The sequence below is a fragment of the Homo sapiens genome, chromosome 13 (genome assembly GCF_000001405.40).
Source record: "Homo sapiens chromosome 13, GRCh38.p14 Primary Assembly".
Taxonomy (NCBI): domain Eukaryota; kingdom Metazoa; phylum Chordata; class Mammalia; order Primates; family Hominidae; genus Homo; species Homo sapiens.
Window position 1 is genome coordinate 108,616,897 of NC_000013.11, and position 24,445 is coordinate 108,641,341.

Consider the following 24,445-nt stretch of genomic DNA (forward strand, 5'->3'; position numbering starts at 1 on the left):
ATTTCCTTTCATTCTGGGGCTTGAAACCTGCGAATGGCTCCTTCCCCAGTATCCCCAAGATAAAGTTCAAATTGCTCCAAACCATTTTGTGACCTGATCTCTGATTCCATCTCAGTGTCCTCTCTCATCTGTTTGCTCATCCTTAACTCCAGACTCCAGCCATCCCTGAACATCTTCATTTACACAAAAGGAAGCTGTTTTCCATTCTTTCTTGCCACCGAGTGTGCCATTTTCTTCAGGTTTTTGTTTTCCTAGAGCAGTGATTCTCAGACTTAGTGTTTAGCAGAGAGCCATCTGGAGGGCCTGTGAGATCCCCAAGAGCGCTGGACCCACCCCAGAGATTTGGATGCAGCCCTGTTTGATGGGAGCACAGAATCTGCATTTCAAACAAGTTCTCTGGGGATGCTGCTGCTGGTCCAGGGGCCACGGTTAAAACCACAGGACTGCATCACTCTTTCATACGCCCTCATTCCCTCATTCCTTCTATGCATTCTGCAGATTTCAGCTATGATAGCTCATTTCAGCCAATCTTATTTGATCCCTAGCAGTTGGGCAGAGGCTTTTCTGTGTATACCTGAGTAGTTTTACTCCTCCTCACTATAGCACTGAACAACCTGTTGTTGTAAATGCCTAAATAATGTCATTGAAATGGTAAGCTCTTCACAGGTACGGGCTTTCATCTGTGCCATGGTTGTCTCTCAGGGCCTAGTGCCTGCCTGATAGTACAGTCTCCATAAACAAAATTACTAAAGGAAAATAAAGAAGAAATAAATAGAGACTAGGATCCATGTTCAGTCCATCTTGTGTTTTCTCTAATACCAGCAAACGCTGTGCATAGCAGAAGCCCTGCACACATAACAAGGGATGGTTTTACAGGGAGCCAAGGACAAGACTTACTGAGTACCCAATAGATGTACTTATTTATTCTATTGATGTTTCCTAGATATATCATACCCAGATAATCGATTGTCTTTCCCTTACACCATCCCCTTCCTTTTCCACTCTGCTTCTTCTTCCTCCACTCTCCTTTCCCTCACCAGATAGGCAGATGGCCTCACCAAACACCCAAGCACCTAGAAAGCTGGTCTTCTCTCTCACTTCCCAATCCTGCCAGTCTTCAAGCTATTGCTTCCTGAGAATTTACCCAGTCTGCTCTGTCTTCACTACCATGACTCAATTTCAAGCCCTCATGCTCTCTCCCCTGGACTATTATAGGAGCTTTTTAAATAAGTTTCCTTGCTGTCCATCTTGTCTCCCTCAAATCTGTTCTTCACAGAGCATCACGATTTAACTCCTCTGTTAAAAATCTGCTATCCACTCCCCATCTGCTGCAAGAGTGGTCTTCATTTTTCAGGTCAGGGATCCCTTTGAGTAACTACAGACTCTCTCCCAAGATTCTATGGAAGAGATGCATGTAATTCAGGACAGAAGAGCACCTGCAAAAAAGAGGAGAAAAGACTTCCCAGCAGGAGACACCTCCTGCAAGGCATTGTGCATTAAGACTGTGGTGGCAGTGGCTGTCCTAGAACATTTGCATTGCAGATGAGAAGCTGCTAGAGTTGAGCCTGTAGAGACAGACAGGAGCACCTCACAGAGGACATTGTATATGGTATGAAGGAGCCATTGCCTGGGCCAGCCACCACCTCTTCCATGCCTCCATCTTGCTTTGTCTAAGCTTACGTTTGCATTTTCCACACTGTGTTATAGTGGCTGATTTGCTGTGCTGGGAAATCACTTTAAGGGCAGTGACTGCCCCTTATTTGTATCCATATGCAAAAGTACAGTAGCCTGTCAGTCAATAGTTGTTGAATGAGTGAATGTAGAATGAACCAATGCTTCTGAGTTACCTTAGTTTTACACCCTTAGAAATCCTTTTCTCACTGTGTCTGTTGCTGCTATGTTAGGAACTCTGTCACTATTTACAACACTTAAACAATAGATTATAATTTGCATGCAGTAAAACACATATATACTACATGTACAATTCAACCAATCTTAATGTATCTCTCTATATTTATACGTGTGCAACCACCACGAGATCAAAATATGAAACATTTCCATTTGTTCTAGAAAGTTCCCTAGAGCCCTTTTCCTATCAATAGCCCATTTGCCTGATTTCTATTATCATAATTTTTTCCTGTTTTTGGATTTTATGTAAATAAACAGAGTCATAAATTTGACACTCTCAAAATATCCCCCATCAGATTCATGTAAGACTTTTATTTTGGTGATACTTCTCCACAACCATCGCACTACAACTTACCTTAATCCACTCAACTAACACTTACATATTTGGCTTTAGAGATGTATATCAATATCTTCTGTGGTCTGGAGATAATTCTTATCATATTAGCACCTTAGATGTAATTGCCAGTATTCATGATATGTTAAAAAATTATTAAATGTCTACTAAATTTGCTACAGCTTAGCTACTTCACGAGACTCTAAAATTCGGTTCCCTGCTATACTCTTAAATTTCAAATATAAACATATATACCTCTTCCCTTGATAAAATCTTACTTCCGATCTGTATCTTTTCTTGACACTTTCCTTCTCTTGACACTTTTGGTTGACTGGGTCTGTATGTTGAAATGTCTGCCTTGATAGATACTCGAGGGTGTAAAAGTAAACATCAATGTAGCAGCATCATGTCAGCATTTTGAGAGAAAGCCCACGCAGGATGTAAATTAGCAGTAATAGGATGTAGCATCAGGAGGTATCACAGCGATACATCAGTGCAGCTAACCTGGCCAAGAAGAAAGGGGAAGGGACTGATCGGGAGGCAGTTTGCCCGCTGTGACCCTTGAACACTTATTTTCTACTCATTTTACACAACCCCTTCCCTTCTCCACCTTCTCCTCTCCAGATGTCTCTCCTATGTGTGTCCTCCCCTCTCCCTCTCTCTCCCTATATACACAACACCAACATGTAGGGTTGAAGTTCATCAGGCAAGGGACGATGCGCGGTGAGGAAGGTAGAAAAAATGTGACAGACAGAAGAAAGGCCTGTGCTAGGAGTTGAAGGCAAATGGCATACTGGAAACCTAAGCCTAAACCACCTAGCAGGAGGGGTATTGCCCCATGATGAAAGGTATGGTGGACTCTGTAGCCTGAATGACTTGGTCAACAGAGTCATGCTCCTTTATGGCTGAATGATCTTGGACATCTTGCTTAGTCTTTGTGCCTCAATTTCCTCATCTGTTAAAAAAGTATTAGTACCCACTACATTGTTCTGATTCTTAAATGAATCGATGCCTATGAAGATATTAGAATAATGCTTACCACATAATAAGCACTTTTTAATTGTTTGCTATATAAGTTGAAGCCTTAAAAAATGGAGGTCATTTCCTAGAAATATTCACTTAGAAGCTTATTTATAACTTTCTTACTTTTTGAATAATAAATCTGAATATTTATTCTGGAAATGCTAAAGGGAATAACACTAACGTATTTATTTTTTGACTACCTGAGTTTTAGGGCTGCTCTGATGTTTGATGTTGAAGCCACACTGAAGAAGAGAGGAAGCAGGGATGAACCGTACTAAGAGCATGCATTCATGTTACTGTTTTCAGGCATCCCAGACTCATTCTCTTGATGCAAAGTCTGTGGGTGGAACTTCTGGATTTTGGGCTTCTAGGGATGAGAGGTTTCCAGTATTGGCAACATTAGATAAATTAAGGAAATATTTCATTGGGTCAGATCAAGTCCGCCTTTATGAGGAAACTGTGGAAAGAAGGAAGCAGAGATAGGGATGGAGATTTCAAGACAGGAAGAGGAGGACTCACCTTTTGGTCGATGATGGGATGTGCTGTCCACTTCCCACTTGTCACTGCCTCTGCTCTGTCCCCAGTTCCTCGCCCTTGGGGGCCTTGAGTGGCCTCCACTTCCCAAACACACTATCCTCTTTATTTCTCCTGCTCCAATAATTTCCTATGATATTTATGCATTTCAGATCTAAACATCCCACTCCTCTGCATTAAAAGCTTCCTTGTCTCTATATGACTCATGAGAAGGAACAGAGCCTCCCATCCCCACCCCGCAGCCTGGCCTCTACTTACCTCTCTAACTCACCCCTCAGCTGGCTGTGCCAGGTACTATCCTTTAGCCTTGCCAAACATTTCTGTTTATTTCTTGAACATGTCATGAAGATACCACACACCTCTCTTCTGCCCACCTGCTTTGCCTAATCTCTTCCTACTCATCCTCTGGTGTGTGCTAGGCACCACATCTTCAGAAACACACTGCAAACCCTCAAGCTTCGGGTGCCTGCTCCATAATGCCATGCATTTTCTAGTGTAGTCTCTGTAATTCTGTTTCCCAGTGTATAATCTTTGTAAGCTCCACAGGGTAGGGTCTAGGTCTGATTCATGACTGTTGCATGTTGAGTGCTCAACAAAGACTTCCAGGGCTGATAGAATTCTATGGTAGTCCCCCCACTTATTTGCCGTTTTGCTCTCTGCAGTTTCAGTTAACCACCGCCAACTGCAGTCTGAAATATTAAATGGAAATATCTAGAAATTTCCATTTAATATTTGTATTCTATTTCTAGAAATTCATTAATTTTAAATTGCATGCTGTTCCATGCATGGAGTAACATGATGAAGTCTCATGCCATCCAGCTTCATTTCTTTCTGGACATGAATCATCCTTTTGTCCATTGTATAAGCACTACATGCTTCCTGCTCGTTAATCATCCACGTCGTCTACTCCTGACATCCAGTCATCGACATTGTCGTGGCTCAGTGATCCTGGGCCATCTGAAGCAGATGATCCTCTCTTGGCTGCGGTGTTAGGTCAATAGTAGCCTGCTCCATACCAATGCCTACGTCATTCCCCTCACATCAGGCATCAGTAGGCATTTTATCATCTCACATCATCACAAGAAGAAGAGTGAGTACAGTACAGTAAGATATTGTGAGAGAGAGACAATGAGAGACAGCACATTCACCTAACTTTTATTATAGTATTTTGCTATAATTGTCCTGTTTTATCATTGTTGCTCTTAATCTCTAAATTAGACTGTGCCTAATTTATAAACTAAACTTTATCATAGGAATAGTATAGAAATGTATAGAAAAAAAAACAGTGTATATAGGGCTCCATATTATCTGTGGTTTCAGGCATCCACTGGGGATCTTGGAAAGTGTCCCCCACAGATTGGGAGGATACTGTATAAAGTTTACTTGTTTAGTACCTGGTTCATGGGTAAACATGGCATAATTACTGTGAAGGGGTTTCTACTAGTCATTGATACCTGCAAGACTCTAGGAAAGGCAGTGATGTCTTCAAGGCAAATCACATAATAAATATTTTCATGAATATAAAGATAGCATTAGATCAATACAACATCAGGGGTGTGTGAAATAGTCACATCGTGATGGTTGGAATTGTACTTGTTGAGCACCTAGCTTGTACAGAAGAACCCTGGGCGCTTGGCATTACAGCTGCCATTTCTTATCACAGGAATTTGAACCTCAACCAGGTGACCTGACCTTTAGGGAGTGACAGATACAGGATTCATATCCAAGGAAGTTTACTGAAATAGAAGTAAGGAGGGACAACCCACTAGAGGAGCCTTGGTCAGGGAAAGGATGTCCCAGTCTTCTACGGTTTCATTAGCCTCATGCACTGTGGCCAGAATTTATCTGTGTCTGTTGCTTTACTCTGAGAAGTCCTTCCAGTTATTTATGGGAGTGTGAAGTATGGAGAGAGAGACAGGGAGAGGAGGAAGAGAAAAGGAGGAGGGGGGAAGGCAGATGTTGGTGGGGGATGGAAAAGAGAGGGATGGTGGGGGATGGACGAGAGGAAGAGGAGGTAAGAGGAGAGGCCAAAATAGGCTAAGAGAGATTCTGATGGGAAACATGAAGTCGTGGATCATGAATCAGAGACATGGATCAGAGCACGGACCACACTCACAGAGCATCCTGGCACTGGTTTCCAAAGCCCCACTATTCAAAAAGCAATGGACGGAAAGCCTGATATCATCCTGCAAGGGCAGTGGAATTGTAACACAGGAGAGGAACCAAAGAGTTCAAGGACTCTAAGCTTTTATAAGCTGCACATATGCCCATTTGAGAGAAAGAGTGAGAGAGAGAAAAGGAAACAAATTTTCTCTTGGAGAAGAAAAGAGAAAGTCTCCAGGCTTATCACCCTGAAATATAAGCCCATGGGCCTGGGAGGTAATTCTCCAAATTGCTTCAGAGCTACACACACGACGTCCAGCTTCCAAGGTATGCTTTTATGTAATCACCATTTAACCAAGGCTGCCAATGCTCTTTCCTCTGACAGCCCAAACTGTGCAGATAGGAGAAAATATTTATGGAGAACAATATCGTAACAATGAGGGCTACTTAAACTTATCCAAAAGGCCTGAGACTTCAGTTTGGAGAAATAATTTAATGTCATTTGTGAATTTGGATATTTCAGTGTACATTCTTTTTCTAGAACACCTTAAAATATTGTTAAATTTTGGGAACCTCTCTAGTGACTATATTGTATCCATTGTCACTCAAAGAAAATTAGCAACAAGGGAATTCATTTAGAAGAAGAAAGTCAAACTTGCAGCCAGATCTCCCTATGATCCGTTTTAATGGCGCCTTCATGGGGGATATTGAAAAACAATATACACTCAGTCTACTTGTACCTACATGCTTGAATGAAGAAGGGGCTATACTCCACTTCATTTCTTTCTTCTTCTCCTGTCATGTATGGTAAGTTATGTTTACTTAAGTGTTCAATAATCCTGCCTTTAATAAAATATTCCTCAAGACATTATATGTCATGCACCAGAAAATGCTTTAGAGCAATTCTAATTCTCTGGCTCTCCCTTTGTTGATCTCTGAATGTTCACTAATGTTTTGGACTTCATAGGAAATAGGAAAAGTAGAAGGTCTGAGACTCAAATAACGAGTTACCTACCTAGGAAGAGCCTTCCCTATGATAACTAGTTAAGAAAAATGCAAAGCATTGCATTATAAATGCTGGATTGACTGGTACATGAAAAAAATGAATATAAGCTTTAGAGAAGGTCAGGAATAATTTAAGCAATAAAAAAATCAAGAACAGTTTGTAGATTAAATGGGCTTGAAGTAAATTTGAAGAATGCATGGAATTTGAATAGGTAACTTAGTGTGATTAAATTGTAAATAAGAGCATGATTCAACTAAAGAGGCATATTTTGTTTAAAAAATCCATGTATATCAATGGGAAAAGTATGAAGGAGAGGCTTCTTATTTAATTGCCTCACAATTCCTTTCATCCTTTTTGGGAAAATTAAGAATATCTTTTAGATCATCAAAAAACTTTCAGATATTGTCTTCTAAATGACAAATGTATAGAGATCTGTTCAAACATTTCAGCCTGGTGTCCCAGCTGTCTTATTTAGGCCAACAGTAATCGCTAAACTTGCTTCGTCATCAATAAATTTTTTTTTATCTGCCTATTCCTGGTAACTGGTTGCAGTATACTATTTATTCCCTCAAACTGATTGAAGAACAAGGCAAAGAATACTTAATTATTCATGTGCTCATATTCATCCATATCACACATGTGCACATAAACCTAGGTAGAGTCATACAGACATAAAACAAAACGGTCTGTTTCTTATTCACCATTAAGATATGCAAACTTTTGTCCAAGGTCAAACACCTGAAATGGAAAAGTCTTCCTAGATAGTTGTAACGCATATGCTGGAAAGATTTCAAAGTGGTTGTTCGGATTCAAGTGAAAAACCTTACAAATGCTTTACAAATGTCCTGCTTTAGATACCCAGTTTAACTGGTCCTCACTAGAATTTAAAACATTTCATTTTGATTAGGGAAAAAAATCACCAAAGGAAGTGGGTGGCCAAATGCCCTTAAGGAGCAATTAGAACATCCCATATAGCCTGAGTGTGTGTGTGTGTGTGTGTGTGTGTGTGTGTGTGTGTGTGTATCTTCATATATCCATATCAATGCACATGCATGTATTTGCTATTATATTAATCTATATTGTATTACAGAGAGTAATTTTCAGTCTTTTTGAAGCAGTTTTTAAAATTGCATTTCTTTTCTACATCAGTACTCTATGAAAGTATTTGAATAACCAGGGATATTTTCTAGCCGTTATATGACAAATTCACTTTTAGTCACTAAAGCAGGGCTCAGCTGGGTTAGCCCTCACTGCCCTCTGACATGGAGAGGGCAGTTCCTATTAACCCCTACTTCTTTCCAACTGTGCAAGTCTGTATTGTAAATTTCTTCTCATTTACTTCACAATTGCCCACATCTAACTTGAATGTCCGTTTGTTCTGGTTGGAGAAATGTGAGACTACGTGAAGCTGAAGTGAACACACAGCCCTGTGGAGTCCTGAATCCGAGAGCTAGTGGTTTCACAGGCAGGCCAAAATCAGGAACAACCTCCACAGTCACTAGACTGAGATCAGGGACTTTATGAGAGAGTCAAGGATGTTCAGTCATTCAAGGTAGGCTTGATCCTGGTCCTGAGGCACCAGGGGTTGACCAGAGGCTGATTCTATAGCAAGAGCTGAGTGTATTTATGCCTTATTTTTTGACAACTCAGATATTTTCTCCTCTGTAGGCTTCAGCCTCAAAGGACCCTAAGTTATTAGACCGGAGTTATGTTCCCAGGAGAGGTCTTGACTCCATTCACCCAGAAGCAGTCAATATTTGTGATAGAGGAAATTATAAATTTAGCTGTCAGCCATTGTGTGTGAGACACCTGTGGCTCAAGGTCTCTAAATGTGTGTAATTTACTTCATCAAAGGCTAATATTTATAAGCCCCAACCTATTCACAGGGCAGAGGCAATGATGCCCCATCACAGAGCTTAAATTTGCATAACAAAAAACTGTTGTGTGTGATTTATATCTTCATTTAGAATTTTTGTCATGACCTACTGTTAATACGTACCTTTCCCAAATTGGTGATGTTTGCAAACTTTAGTTTTAATTTCTTCATTTAATAAAGCATGTCAATGCAGGCACTATTAGATTAGGAATTATCTGTCAGCAGACTGGCATTATGAAACTACATGTTTTACATTGTCCAAATAGGTTTTAAATGAAAACATTAAGTAGTATCTCACCTGGGGCCTTTTTGGAGCTGTGTCTCATGTATCCCATTTTAAAAGATATTTACTAAGCAATTTCTAACTTTTGAATGCTTATCTCTCATTAGAATCATTGCAGTTTCTTTTTTTGTTTTTGGCTGGGAAATAATTTAGCCTTATTTGAAAAAATCTGGTGTATAATAATGCTAACATTTAAGAGAAAAAAAATCATGTGTTCATATCAGAAATAGTGTGAATAATGAGCAGCTGTATGGTGTATAAAAGAGAAAAAGGGGTTTCTTGATTATTCAAAAATGAGTTTGAAATATTATGCATTCGTATTTGGAAAGAACAATAGTTCATTGTAATAATACTGAAAAATAATAAAATAATTGTGCTTTATGCGTTTGAAAATTTTCTGGAAATGCAAAACAATACCCTCTTTCGAACGCATGGATTTAATTTTGTACTTAATGACCATATTCTGCAAAATAGATAAATTGCTAACCATATATTTAATTTAGCCTTGGTCATTTCTTGCTACTGTCATCAACTCTGATACCATATTTAAAATATAAGATTTAGCCGGGCATGGTGGCTCATGCCTGTAATCCCAGCACTTTGGGAAGCCAAGGCAGGTGGCTCACCTGAGGTCAAGCCTGACCAGCCTGACTAACATGGTGAAATCTCATGTCTACTAAAACTACAAAAATTAGCTGGGCATGGTAGTGGGTGCCTGTAATTCCAGCTACTTGGGAGGCTGAAACAGGAGAATTGCTTGAAACCGGGAGGCAGAGGGTTGCAGTGAGCCAAGATCGCGCCATTGCACTGCAGCCTGGGTGACAGAGAGAAACTCCATCTCAAAAGAGAAAATAAAAGAAAAGAAAAATATATATGTGTGTGTATATATATATATGTATATTATACATGTATATATGTATATTTTATGTATATATGTATATTATATATATTATATATAGCTATATATAATATATATAAAAATATATATTGTATATAATATATATATTATATATTATATATATATATGATTGAAGGAGTCCTGAAATTATTGTTCTGACCACCCAACAGTGAGTTGAGTTTCTCAGGGATGGATATAGAGGAGGAAATTTTAATCAACTTCAAGTTACCATTTTTAAAAAATTTTATGAAGGAAGTAAAGTTAATGGAACCAAAATTATTTTCCTCAGTATTAATGCCTGCATTAGAAATTAATTTTTGTTTTGTAGTGATGAAATATGTAAATAGGTTTAAACATAGTTCTACCAATGTTTAGAGCATGAGTATGTGGTTTCAAAGACAAAAAGATAAAAGGGCTTCTTAATCTGGGGAAATTATATGTAGATACAGTTTATACATAGAAAGCACATTCTAAGTAGTTTAAGAAATCTGTGAATACATTTCTCAGTGTATCCTCCTTCAACTCCTCAAAGTGGATTAGATGTTGGCTCTTGTTGTTTTAGAGGTCTACATTTGTAGTCTTACAGTTTCTAGCACACAACACTGTGCTATCTTGATTGTCTCTATTTCATCTGACGATAAGCACTTTGAGGTCAGGGAGTCAAGTTTCTCTTATAGCACAAAGAGTTGCCAAATGTTTATGGAATACATGAGTCGATGAAAAATAAACACATTTGATAATGAGCCCCTGGAGATGAGATGTTAATTCTCACGGGGTACCTTGGTTAAAGTTCTTATAAGAAATGCCTTAAGTTATTGAAAAAAGTAGGGCTCAAATCAATTATATTTTTAATAACATATTTTCTTTGTCAAGTGCACAACATGCCCCTCTGAGTGTTATGCTTTTTTTCAGTTTAAAGAGTGAATGGTATCATTAAACTCAATTGTCTTAAGATGTTTGCTGAGTTTGTATACATGCAGAGGCATGCAATTTGCAGAAAATTAAGACATTCAGACATTTAAGGAAGGTATATAGGCAACATACTATTTATCCGGCATTGTATTAAGAGAAGGGGGTAGGGACATCTACATGGATACAACCTTACCCGAAGATACATTAGATAACATTCACATAAATTCACAGTTATTTTATGCACATGTAAAGATTTGTATTGATTTAAAGAGGAGAGAGCTTTACTTCCCGTGTTGGAAACAGATATAGTTGTGTCTTACAGTTTTATTGAAACATTACAAAACATCCAAGAAACCCTTTAAAAATACATTATAGATTCCTGGTATATAAAGGCTCTGTTTTAGACATATTTTATTCCTGAAAAGCACCCAAAATGGTGACTTTTGTGACAGTGACTCTCAATAATTAATTGTGGAATCAACGAATAAATGAGGAATCAGCATTCCTGATGAAGGCTGCAAATCCTCATTCTAATTTTTGGAAAAGCCAAGTTAAAGCGTCCATAATCATCATTTGGTACATACATAAGTTTTTTTCCTTGTTAATGTTAATGACAACTTTTCAATGAACACCAACAACAGAAACCAGAAATTTTATGTGCATTATTTCTAACCTTCAGAATAAAGATTAGGAATTATATTTCACATGCATAGATGAGGAAACTGAGGCTTTAGCAGGTTAAATAATGTGTTTACATTGATACTCTGGTAAGTGGTAGAAGCTGGATTTGACATCAGGCTGTTCTGTGCGAAATCTTCAACTTATTATTTTACATCACGCTACTAAAATGTGTTAGAATATTATTCAGTGAAAATGTAATAGTCATGACCCCTTGTTGTATAGATTTGAATTTCATAATCTTCTAGTTTAATAAAAGCACTGCTCTTTGAGTTTTGTTCAGTAAGGAATACAAAATTATGTTACTGCCACAGAAGGATGGGTGCACTTAACATATTGTTCATGTTTACCTTTCCTATAACCTCAAACCTGAAACATAAATTCTAGACTATGTCAACTTGTCTTTGGAGAAGATCATCATAAAAATGTATCAATTTGCAAAAAAAATGTATCACTTTGAATTTGTAAACAACTTAAAATATAACCTTTTGGTTTGCTACCATGGCTATTTCATTATGAGTATGATATTCACTTTTATAACAATAAACCCTAGCAGACCATATATTTCTTTCTGATTCCAATTCAGTCAGATTTACTTCATCCAGTTGGGTTGTACAGTTAAATTCATTGCAGTCTGCAGAGGTAGGAGAATCCTAAATTTTAAAGCTATGCAAACCAAAAGCTTTTTGTGGATAATTTAAGTTTTACATTCTGCTCAGAAAAGCAGAAAGATGTGTTTTGAAATATAATGCAAGTTTTTCATTACTAAGGACAGATCAAAGATCTCTGATTCTAAGAGGTGGCTATTTTAAGCTCCTGCTATCAATTTCCTATTCACACACAGCAACTGGTGGCAACTAAAAATAATCCGCTTTACTACCAGCTAAGAATCTGGTCATATGTGGCTGATGGACAGTGTGCACGAAGAAGATTTAGGATCCTTCTATCCGTGGCTTCTCTCCAGCCCACTCATCAGCTTAGTTTGCTGCCATTTGAAAGCTATTGAAAAGCCATTAACAGGCAGGACCGGGAGAGCCGCACTGCAGCACACCTCCGTGCAGCAGAATGTGGCTGCATGTGAACACCAATTAGAGCTGACTATTCCCGGGATTGTGGTACTCGGGGCTGTGTCAATCAAGGGTGCTACAATAGCACGTGCACCAGTGGTGCCTCAAGACCCACCGGGGAGAGGCTTATCTTAACTCCAGCTGCCGAATGAGAATGAGTTTGAAGCTTTTTGCAGGATCATGGAACAGAGCCTCCATGCAATAGTGCATCCTGAGGTAAACTGTTACCTGAGTAAGGGCTTTAAGTAATGCATTTCCTGGGAACGACAGTTGTGACAGAAGAGAATGCTGGAACCCGTAGCAAGATTCCTGTCTGAGATGGAAAGATGTCTCACTATCATTTTATCAAGTGCTGTAAGTAAGCTTGATATCTTGCTCATGTGGTTATTTGTCTTGTTGAAGTATTATTTTGTGCAGATGCCAAAATTAAGGCAGTTCTCCTGGTATACCACATTCAGATGAGTGACATAGACTGGTGACTTAGAAGAATATTTTACAGGCTGGATATATTTCCTTTTAATTTTAGATTGTGAAATAATTCCAGTGTGATCCAAATGCTAATAGCACAGAGATCTTTAAAACTTCAGCTTTTTAAAAAAAATGATTCATAGACACAGCAACCAGAAAAAAAAAAAAACACCAGAAACACATGGAAAGAAATTACAAAAGCATATTTTTGCTCATTGGCACATGTTAATAAAGTACATAAAAACTAAGTTTATTAATATATGGCTGAGGTCATTTAGCTAGTATTTTAGTCTCAAGTTTTACTGCTTAAGCCTCTATTCAATGCTTTTTGTAAGTGTGATCTTTAGGGTTATCCTTGACTGTAAACTTTTGTCCTTGTATCATTCACCTTGCGGTGCTTAGGGACTCCAGGGACTCTGTACCAAATGCTCTCCACTGATGTTCATATGGTGAAATTTAGTTTGTCACCAGGTTCTCTTTTGGGCTTATCAAGGGTTTCTTTAGCGTCTGAAATTTTGGCAGAATTTTCTGAGCTAGAGAATACTTCCATCTAAACCAATTCTGGATGGTAATAATGAAGAGGAAGACATATTTATCCAAAAATGGCTTGCTGGATATACATTTTTGTCCCCTGCAGCACTTCTGAAAACTTCTGTACATATATATCATGATCTTAAAGTGACAGATGACATTTGCAGAAAATGGTTTTCTTTTAAGCTTAAGGTTTTGCTGCCAAAGGACATCACAATGTTAAATTGAAGCAGCATATTAAGGGAACACATGTGTTGAATGAATCTTGAGCTTTGCACTAAAGGAGACTAAAAAAATAATGATGATTGAGAAGGTGAAAATATTTACCTTTCTCTTATTTTTGGTAGAGAATGTATACAGGAATTAAAACTATGATTAATGGAAATAAAAATGCCTTACTCTTAAGCATTGCCAAGAATGTCATGCTTTCATGTTGCAGAACAATTTCAATTCCCAAAAGGATTCACTGGTCATCTCGTAAGTTTGCAGATTAGCTCTTTAACTAATAAGAATTAGAGGCATGCAGCGTATTTAAGAATTTTGAGAATAGTCTTCTGCTTTAATCTGTTAACTCTTGGGGTTATTTTCTTGGAGAAATAGACACAGGGCAATACTCTGACTGGTTTTTGTATTGCCTCTCGTGTTTTACTGCACTAGCAGAATGTCATTATTTTCCTTGCTGTGCCTCTGCAGAGGAAAAACTCTGCATCTTTCCTACAAGGAACCTGGATGCTCATTAGACACATTGAACACACCTGGTGGAGGGCAGCCATGGAGCATGGGTGGAAGCACAAAGGGACAGTGACATGGACGTGAGAGATTCAGGGAGCAGTTGGTCACCAAACACAATATGAGTCTGCCCTTTCCTGCCTTTTGTTCTGTTTTAGTTGAATTATTTGATTGTAGAATTTCGGAAAATTGTAGACATTTCAGAAAATTGGTGATGTCAATTGGAGCCTGTGAGATATTTCTTTTAGCATGCTAGTATAAGAGATGAAATCTAAAATTAATGAATTTAAACATTCCTGATGCATTTCTGAAAGTAATTAGCAACTACTTACTAAAGATCTGACTGCTTTCTAAGCTTTGAGTGTGACAGTCTATAAAATGGAAAGGAAGCATGAATATTATGAAATGCTAACTTTACTGGAGAAATGGTGCGATGTGTTAAGGAGTTCAGAAATTATACTGCATTCTGTGCTGAACTAGTGAAGGGTGTTTTATGAAAAAAATGCATCTTGAGCTATATCTTGGAAGGATGAACAAAATATAGAAGAAGGCCGGGCGTGATGGCTCACGCTTGTAATCCCAGAACATTGGGAGGCCAAAGCAGGCGGATCACCTGAGGTCAGGAGTTTAAGACCAGTCTGGCCAACATAGTGAAACCCTGTCTCTACTAAAAATACAAAATTTTGCTGGGTGTGGTGGTGGGAGCCTGTAATCCCAGCTACTTGGGAGGTTGAGGCAGGAGAATTGCTTGAACCCGGGAGGCGGAGCTTGCGGTGAGCTGAGATCGCGCCATTGCACTCCAGCCTGGGTGACAAGAGCAAAACCCCAACTCAAAAAAAAAAAAAAAAAAAAAGAGTGAATGCCCTCATGGTATCCTAAGGGTTTATTGATAAGGATCATAATTCATGGTTTAATGGTTGTTCCTGATGCGTAAGATTTTCCCAAATTGTTGTCTCCCATATTGGGCTGATCTGCTGGCGAGGTTCATCGGCCTTCGTCACACTCCATTCCTTCTTCGCCTGTCCTGCATTTCTACCACATATCTGTCTTTCATTCTGAGCCAGATTTATCACCATAGCACGTTCACTTTCAAGCCAGACAGCAATGCAGGAAGTGGATGAATTCCAGGGCAGGAGCAGGACCTTCTGAAATGTGCAACATTAGCATCCCATGTGCTCCTAGTGAATCACAGGAAGCCTTCAGGTGGGATGCTGGGTGACCAATAGCTAATGCTCGCAAGGAACTGTTAGTCACCTGGGAAAATACTCATCATCTAAGGTGAAAAAATTATACGCTTCAAGGTCGAAACTTAATCTAACAGTTGTTATCTCCAGTTTATGATAATATCTGTTACTTTGTAAAACATTTTTACTTTATTTTAGAGAAGGGTTAAAAACTAGAGTGTAAAAATTTACTGTGGAAGCAGGATATAGCAGGAAAGTGTAGGAACACCACAGCAAAAAGTGTGGCCATTTCATGTATCTTGGTAGCTGAGAAGTAGCTTTAGACAGATCTGCAGTGAGAGCCAGTCTCAGAGCCCCATGCCTGTTGAGAGGTAACACATGAACATGACCAGGCCCCAGCTGAGGCGCAAGCAGAAATGAGAAATGGAACTCAAGGGAGTCATGGGCTCACAGAACTTTAAGGCCATGTGAGACTTGAAACTACTTTTGTTTTAATGAACTGAAGCGGAGGCTTGAGGTCTACCTGTGGAGTTCCCTTCACGTGCCTCTGGGGGTGAAGCATTGCAATAACTACACCTGACCTATTTCTCTCCTGGTTCAGCTCTTCTCTAAGCATACGGGTTTGGGGCAGCATTGTTTGCAGCAGGAGGAAGGTTAAAGTTATTTAAAATGAATATTCTCCAGAGCTGAGAATTCATTTACAACACCTAAGAACGAATTGTATCAGAAAATCTGTTACTTTATATGTTGTATTAGTCAGGGCTTTCTTGAGGGGCAGAACTAATAAGATAGATGTATATATAAAGGGGAGTTTATTAAGGAGAATTAACTCACACAATCACAAGGTGAGGTCCCACAATAGGCCATCTGCAAGCTAAGGAGCAAGGAAGCCAGTCAGAGTCCCAAAATATCAAAAGTAGGAAAGCTGACAGTGCAGCCTTTAGTCTGTGGTCAAAGGTCCAAGAGTCCAAAAGCGGAAGAACTTGGAGTCTGATGTTCAAGGGCAGGAAGCATCCAGCATGAGAGAAAGATGTAGGCTGGAAGACTCAGCCAGCCTGGTTCTTCCATGTTCCTCTGCCTGCTTTTATCCTAGCTGCACTGGCAGCTGATCAGATGGTGTCCATCCAGATCGAGGGTGGGTCTGCCTCTCCCAGTCCACTGACTTGAATGTTAATCTCCTTTGACATCACCCTTGCAGACACACCCAGGAACAATACTTTGCATCCTTCAATCCAACCAAGTTGACACTGAGTATTAATGATCACACATATTAAACATGTTTTATGATACCAAGGTTAAAACCCATTTTTTTCCTCAAGCCACTCATGCTGATGAACACCACCTCCAGTAAAATGCTTTCCTCACTTTTCTAGCTATCGCACACACTGTTCGCTCATTCAAGAACTTTCACTGCAGTGTTTCTGCAATGCACTAACACACCCAGAAGCTGCTCCCTCCATGTCCTCACTCTCCCATATCCTGCTCTCCGCCTGGTCCAGCGCCCATAGTCCATTGCTGAAGCCACTTCACTCCTTGCCCTCACCTCCCTCTGTTCCACTCGAGTGACGAATACCTACCCAAGGTGGAACCCCCCTTTCCAGCATGTCTGTCCTTGCCCCAGAGGAGCTGGATGACCCTTGAAGGAGGACATCAGAGCAAAAGCAGACTGATTTCATTTAACATCATGATCAAACATCTCACCCAGGCAGGCAGCACTCTCCTGTACCCTCGTCTTGTTTCTACGGTAGGCACGACTGCTCATGCCTAGAGACCCCTTCTTCTAACTCCAATCTCCCAGGCTGAGGAGTTACAAACCTACCCTCCCACCATTAAATCTGCAGAGTGTCTGCGCATGTATTCCTCTTTGCCCACTTCTCACCTGCAGTCCTGAATTTCCTCCTGTGTGTCCAAGGCCAGTGCGCTTGCAATTCTGTCTCCTTCTGCCTCCTGCAAGCTTGCATTTCCCTTCAGCTCTCCCCTTTCTCTCCTGCATCAGCTTCCAACAGAGTGAATATGTGGCCAATCCATCCATCTTCCAATTAAGCAAAAGTCCCCCCTTGTTCTCTCTTCCCTCGGGCCACCACCCCATTTCCTTGTTTGCAGGTCATACCTTGAAACGATTGCCCATGCCCGTGGCCTTCGACCCTCACCTCCTTGTCTCCTCTTCCATGACTGCATCCCGCTGCTTTCCTTTACCACTCAGTGGAATCCACTTTACTTAAACCACCTTTATGTGGCAAAATCCAATGGACACTAGACCTGCCTCATGTTCCTTAATTTCTGATGTGATTACCACGTCTTCTTCTGCAGCTCTTGGGGGTTTTCTCCTAATTCACTAGCAGCTTTTCCTCCACCCCAGTTGCTGGCTTTCTCTTCTTCTTCGGGCGTGGCCCTAACTTTCTTTTGACAACCTCATCCATTCTCATGGCTTTAAGCATCATCTATATTTTCCCACATATGAACCTTTAGCCCAGATGTCCCCTTAGGCAGCCCTCCCTTCTGTCTCTTAACAACATGGACATCTTTTCTGGCAAATTATATATCTAGGCATTGTTTCTTGATAGCTAAGTAGTGTAATAGTCTATAGCATTTATTAAACCATCTATTTATTAAACTCTTCTTTTTTGACAGGCATTAAGACATTCTGTTTAAGTATTTTGGCTTATAGGAATATTGATTCACAAGAGCAGTAACATTGAATCAAATGGTATGTGTAGTTTAAGGTTTTGTAGAAACTGCTAGATTTCTTTCAGTGAGGAGTAGCACTTCAGATTACCACAACCAGCAATCAAAGGACTCGCATCACTGCACCTCAGCCAACCCGGAAACGTGCCTTCCTCCCAAAAGGATGTCAACTCCATCGTCGAAATATGGTTTCCTGTGGGGCTCTCCATTTTATATAATAAATAGTTAAGGGTGTTCCACCACTTTTAACTAGTCAAATTTCTTCATATGTGTTTTCATTATTTACACTGGGTTTTTAATCCTTTTACTTATCAATTTCATGTAAACCTTTATGTAAGGAAATATTAATGTTTCTCTTGATATGAATGTGGTGTAGATGGTTTACCTATTTATTTTTTTTTTTTTGAGGGAGTCTCACTCTGTCACCCAGGCTGGAGTGCAGTGGCATGATCTTGGCTCACTGCAACCTCTGCCTCCCTGGTTCAAGTGATTCTCCTGCCTCAGCCTCCCAAGTAGCTGGGACTACGGGTGCGTGCCACCACACTCGGCTAATTTTTTATTTTTAGTAGAGATGGGTTTTCACCATGTTGGTCAGGCTGGTCTCGAACTTCTGACCTCAGGGGATCCACCCGCCTCAGCCTCCCAAAGTGCTGGGATTACAGGTATGAGCCACCGTGCCCAGCCAGTTTTCCTGTTTTTGACTTTTGCCTTTGTTTTGGGTGTTGGATGGCATCTGATTTTTTACTAATTGTGTAGAAAAATATGTCTCTGTTCTATGGATTTTTGGTTTCATTTATTGCTTTGGGTAGCCTATTTATTCTAAAGCTAAATTAGTTTTCTACATCTTAATCTAAACTTTCATTTTTGTATTTGAAATTTTAATTCATGTGGAATTAAGGTGTGTGTGTGTGATTTAAGGTAAGAGTTACTTCTTTCCCTGTTTCATTTCTGCATGCACAATACCTACTGAATTGAAATTTGCTTTTGTCGCATTCTAAATTTCTAAATATATTTGCATCCATTTCTGGTTTATGTTTTTGTTACATTGATCCATTGATTTAGTTTAAGGTTACACTGTATTCATTATCTTAGCTTTTGATAACTTTTGAGATATGATAAGGTAAATCTCTCCTGATTAGTGTTCATGACAGTCTTAGATATTCTCAAATATTTACTTTTCTCTTCAATATTAAAATAATTTCAACTAGTCTTAAATGAAAAAATATTTCCCTTTTTTTTTTTTTTTTTTTTTTTTGTGTGTGTGTGTGTGTGTGTGTGTGTGTGTGTGTGTGTCTTGCTCTGTCGCCAGGCTGGAATGCAGTGGCACAATCTCAGCTCACTGCAACCTCCACCGCCCAGGTTCGAGCAATTCTCCTGCCTCAGCCTCCCAAGTAGCTGGGACTACAAGTGCATACCACAACACCGAGCTAATTTTTGTATTTTTAGTAGAGACAGGGTTTCACCATATTGGCCAGGATGGTCTCGATCTCTTGACCTCTTGATCTGCCCGCCTTGGCCTCCCAAAGTGCTGGGATTACAGGCGTGAGCCACTGTGCCTGGCCCCAAGTTGTTTTTATTTTTGTTTTGTTTTGTTTTTACAAATGCACCCAGCGTTTCAAATTTAAAAATGTATTATAATAAGATCTAGAGCTTTATAGTACCTATATTCTACTAAATAAATTAGTTTCAATACATAGTGTGATGACTTCAAACTGAGACTAATCTTTATGACACTGTATCTCTAATTATAGGAATCTTATATTACTTTTACCCACACTATTTTATAATAGTGTTCAAATAAATGATGTCCTCATACTAGTGTGAAGTCTAGGATGTGTAAACATAATGCAATTAAGAGAAAGATAGAAATCATCAAATATGCTGCTAAGGGAAATCTTTAACCTCAGATATCCATATCTGTGTCCATATCCAGATCTGTTCTATGCCTCCCTCTCTATATATGTATGCATATATACACACATATGATATATAAAATCGTAAACTTATAGTATATGTCTCTTGTTCAGCCTTTATACATTTGACTTTTATACAGACTTCCAAGAACATCATGGGCTGCTGGTGTACTGATGACCTAATGATATATCTTTGTGTTTTGCTCCGTGTTGACGTTGCATTATTTAAGGCTTGCCATTATATCTGGAGGGTTTCACACTAACATCCTTACTTGGCATCTGTTGTTCTACTTGGGTACCCTTCCTTTTAGGTTGTTTGGTGGATGGGAAAGGATTCCTTATGCTTTCAATGGTTGGCCCAGACTCAGTATCACATTAAAGATATAAACATGCCACAGTAACTTAACTGATAGACCTGGATAGATTAAGTCAATTTTAGTTTCCTTTTATTTTATTCATTTATTCAGTATTTAATTCATGTATTTATTATTCATGACTTCAAGAAATATTATTTAACTCCTGGTCCTTTTCAAGGAGTAATCTAAGGGCTAAAGATATAAAGATGGCTGGGCACAGTGGCTCACGCTTGTAATCCCAGCACTTTGGGAGGCCAAGGCGGGCAGATCACTTGAGGCCAGGAGTTTGAGACCAGCCTGACCAACATGGCAAAACCCCATCTCTACCAAAAATATATAAATTAGCTGGAGGTTGTGGCACATGCCTGTAATCCCAGCCACTTGGGAGGCTGAGGCAGGAGAATCGCTTGAACCCAGGAGGTAAATGTGGCAGTGAGCTGAGATCACACCATTGCACTCGAGCCTGGGCAACACAAATAAATAGATTAATTAATTAATTAATTAATTAAAAATAAAGATACAAAGACGAACAAGCAAGCTAACATTCCTACTCTCTTGAAATCACCATACCAGTGTGTGAGACAGAGTAAGTAAGTAAAGAGATGTTATAAGAACTTTTGATGGCATCAACTAATGTGAGAAAAATAAAGGTGTTTAACGAACTACTGAGTGACCTGGAAGCAGAGTGGACTTGAGGGGTAATTTTAAATAGGTTGTTAAGGGAAAATCACTCTCAAGAAGTGGTCTCTAAGTTACTGAAAGGAGTGAGTGAGTCAGCAACGTGAAGACCTGTGGGAACAGTGTGCCACACAGAGGGAACAGCAAGTTCGAAGACCCTGAGGCAGGAATGAGCATGTTCCACATTGTTAAGCCAGAGAATCTAGGCTGTCAAAAGTTAGGTTTTTTGTTTCACTTTTTGTTAATTCCTCCCAAACTAATAGGTCAATACTACTTTTTATTTCGGAGTTACTTACTCAAGCTAATAGCCCTGGGCTCCACTTACCTTTACTTCCAAACTTTTTAAAAAATTCATTGCTTCATGCTCCTCAAATACCTTTCCACTCAAATATAGCATTTCATCTCCCACACTGTTACTGTACTGAAACATCAAACTCTCTTTTTGGTTCCAGTTTATCTCAAATTATTTGCACATTTTCACTCAGTGACCACCTCTAACTTCTTAACCTCTCGCTGCTTGCTTTTCTGAAAATAATTGTCCTTGTAACACTGACTTGTTTCTGCCCCTCTCACTTTTCCCACCTATGCCCATATTTTAAGTTTTTTAATCATTCACTCACGCCAGACATTCTGCTATGCACTCAGTTTATATGTATAAATAGAATTTTTTTCTACAAGAAATTCACAATCGAGGAAAAATTGAAAATGAATAACGAATTTTCAATTTCCATCTGTAAGTCAGTATTATGAGACAAGACAGGGAAAGGCACCCAGTTGTTCCATGAGGAAGGTGTGTGCGGAGCTGGGGCAAGCTCATCAGAGTAGGCAGAAGGCATTTCAGGATGAGGAGGCATTTACTGAAGATCAATGGATGAGGAGCCCAGGGAGGGAAGAAGGCCTGCACAAAGCACCATGTTGTGACTGCGTAGTGCGTTCAAAGCAAAGAGATGGAGAAAGAAGAACAATGTGCAGTAGTTGGACAAGTCTGATGTGTTTCTGTGTTACTCATTATGCAAGGGAGGGAGTTCCTTGAATGATTTTCAAGAGCGAGTGATGTGATCAGCTTTGCATTTTAGATCTGTCATTCTGATGGTACTGTAGAGTGTGGATTAAAGGAGAGACTGAAAATGGGAGAAGCCTTGAAATAGCCCAGGTGACAGCTTAAATCAGGAGGGTGGGGACAGGGAAGGGGAGGCGTGGTCTGACTAGAGAGGTATTTATAAGGTGGAATTAACAGAATTTATTGTCTGATTAGTGAAAAATTCTGTGTTGCTTTGCTCTTTTAAAAACATGCATATCCTACGTAGGGTAATTATTTCATCTCCAACATCTCTGTGGCTGGGTTCCAGGAAAATCTACCAGGCTGTGCCCTTCATTGGGATCTCCTGATTTGCGCTATTCAAACCCAAGCAGACCCTGTATCTTATCAGCACTTCAAACCTGCACTGTCCAGACTGAATCTATGCTCTTCCTTCCTAAACCTGAATGTCTCAACCCTGAATGACATAGGAGCCATAGGTCAGGTTTAGAATTTTCTAAGGACTTTTTCTGAAAGCAACTGGAATCCACTAAGATGGAATTCTTAGGAATTCCTAAAAGTGGAAAGTAAAGATTTGTGTTAGAAAGATTGACTATAGAGAACAAATGGGAGGGAGCAGTGGCACAGTCTGGGAGGCCAGGTAGGTGGCTCTTAGGATGACCCACATGGGTGAAGAGTTTGTGTTGGTGATTGACCTGAGCATGGAGAAAACTGGATGAATTTGAAAAAGACTTCAGTACCAGGACCTTAAGGCCTTGGGACGACTTCGGCATTGTGGAGTATACGATAAATGGAATATTCAAGGCACTTAGGTTTGTGTGTGAACAGCTATGTGTATGGTGTTACTAAGTTTCAGATGGGAAGAGCAGGCTTGGGCATGCCAAGTCCCACGGTATGCAAGAAGAGCTGTCCAGTATGTAGCCATAGACACACAGCTGCAGCTCAGGTGAGAGATGCCTATTTGAAATAGGCATGGGAGTTGTTAGCATACTGGTTTCATTTAAGCCACAGGAGGAAAGGAAATAGGTGACAAGGAAACAGATGGCTCAGGTCAGAAATTTTAGAAGGGCAGATAAAGGATGAGTGGTTTGCAAAGGAGTTAAGATGTCTTCAATCAACAGCTCGGGTAACACTGTTTCAAGAGGCAGTGTCTGCTAAGCAGGCTGGCATGAAGTGAGAAGATCACAGTGCAGGCAGGACCAGCATCCTCTGGAGTAATCGATGAGGAGGCCATTAGTGATGTAGACGTAGAGCAGGGCCAGGGGAGAGGAGGGAGGAGTTCTTGCAATGACTTGAGCTGCAATTGGAAGGGAATGAAGAGTACAGAACACATATGAGCTTTGGCTACTAAAAGGAAAAATACACACAGGGCAGTTGGTGGAGGAGGTTGTGCCACTCCAAAATGCTTCATTTTTTTGGAGAGGAAACACATGAGCAGTGTTAAATTTACTGCAGCAAAAGTAGGTCACATGTGCTGATATGTGCATCTTCTTCCTCATCTTTGGAAAGTGAAACCCATCTATCCTTTCACATTCACCCTCTGCCGGTGGTCCAAAGCCCTCAACAATTTGTCCTGTATTTACAGAGTGAACCAAAAATCATCAAAGGCCATGTGTTGGGCCTGGGTTTTGTTTTTAAAACTTTTGGCATCCTACAATGGTTTGAGAAACTGGGATAACGGTAACGACAACCATAAGAGCAACAAGACAGGTTTGGTTGAGGTTTGACATAAAGGAAACTTTGTTTTTCACTAATTTTCATAAATTAATGCTAGAATAGAACACACAACATCATGGTTTAAGAGTGACTGTTCTGTCAAAATGAGCCTTCTTGGCAGTACTATGAAAACCTGTTCCAAACCACAGTTCAGTGATGCTTTGCTTTCTAAGGAGAAAGCTTCATACTGTGGAGTCCATTGAAATAATTCTTAAACTGGAGTTTCAAATTGACTTGTGCATTCAGAAAATGCTCAAGAGGTCACTGTTGAAATTTCAGTCAATATGTCATCTCCACATATATTTGTGGTTGCAAAAGCTTATTGGACGCTTCTCGATACTTTAAAACAAGATAAGAATGCAAACGGAAATTTGAGACAACCTTGTGTGAATCAATGCTGCATTCTAACTACTCTACCATTTTGGTTAGTTCAGCTTAACACAGTCTTTTGCTAATAGAAAGGGGTTGAGAGAAGGATAACTAAAGGCAAATAGCTTCAGGGTCTTCTGAATAAGGAAAGATGA

The 24,445-nt window shown here is 39.7% G+C and overlaps 1 protein-coding gene across 5 annotated transcripts in view, besides 1 other annotated feature; it reads left to right on the forward strand.

Moving 5' to 3' along the window:
- Nucleotides 1-24,445, forward strand: part of MYO16 (myosin XVI) — a 712,290-nt gene that overhangs the window by 121,181 nt on the left and 566,664 nt on the right. For 2 of the 5 annotated variants that reach the window (NM_001198950.3, XM_047430182.1), the window contains exon 1: nucleotides 12,715-12,976. The exons of the other annotated variants lie outside the window; for them this stretch is intronic. In NM_001198950.3, coding sequence (NP_001185879.1) covers nucleotides 12,949-12,976 — 28 coding nt within the window. In that variant the 5' untranslated portion in view covers nucleotides 12,715-12,948. Of the gene's footprint in view, nucleotides 1-12,714; nucleotides 12,977-24,445 lie in introns of those variants that run through there. 5 annotated transcript variants of the gene reach the window in all.
- Nucleotides 1,223-1,724: an enhancer, noted in NCBI's record as "NANOG hESC enhancer chr13:109270467-109270968 (GRCh37/hg19 assembly coordinates)". NCBI's record gives its function as "activates a minimal SCP1, AML or CMV promoter by ChIP-STARR-seq in naive H9 embryonic stem cells {active_cell/tissue: H9 hESC(naive)}" and the evidence as "EXISTENCE:reporter gene assay evidence [ECO:0000049][PMID:30033119]".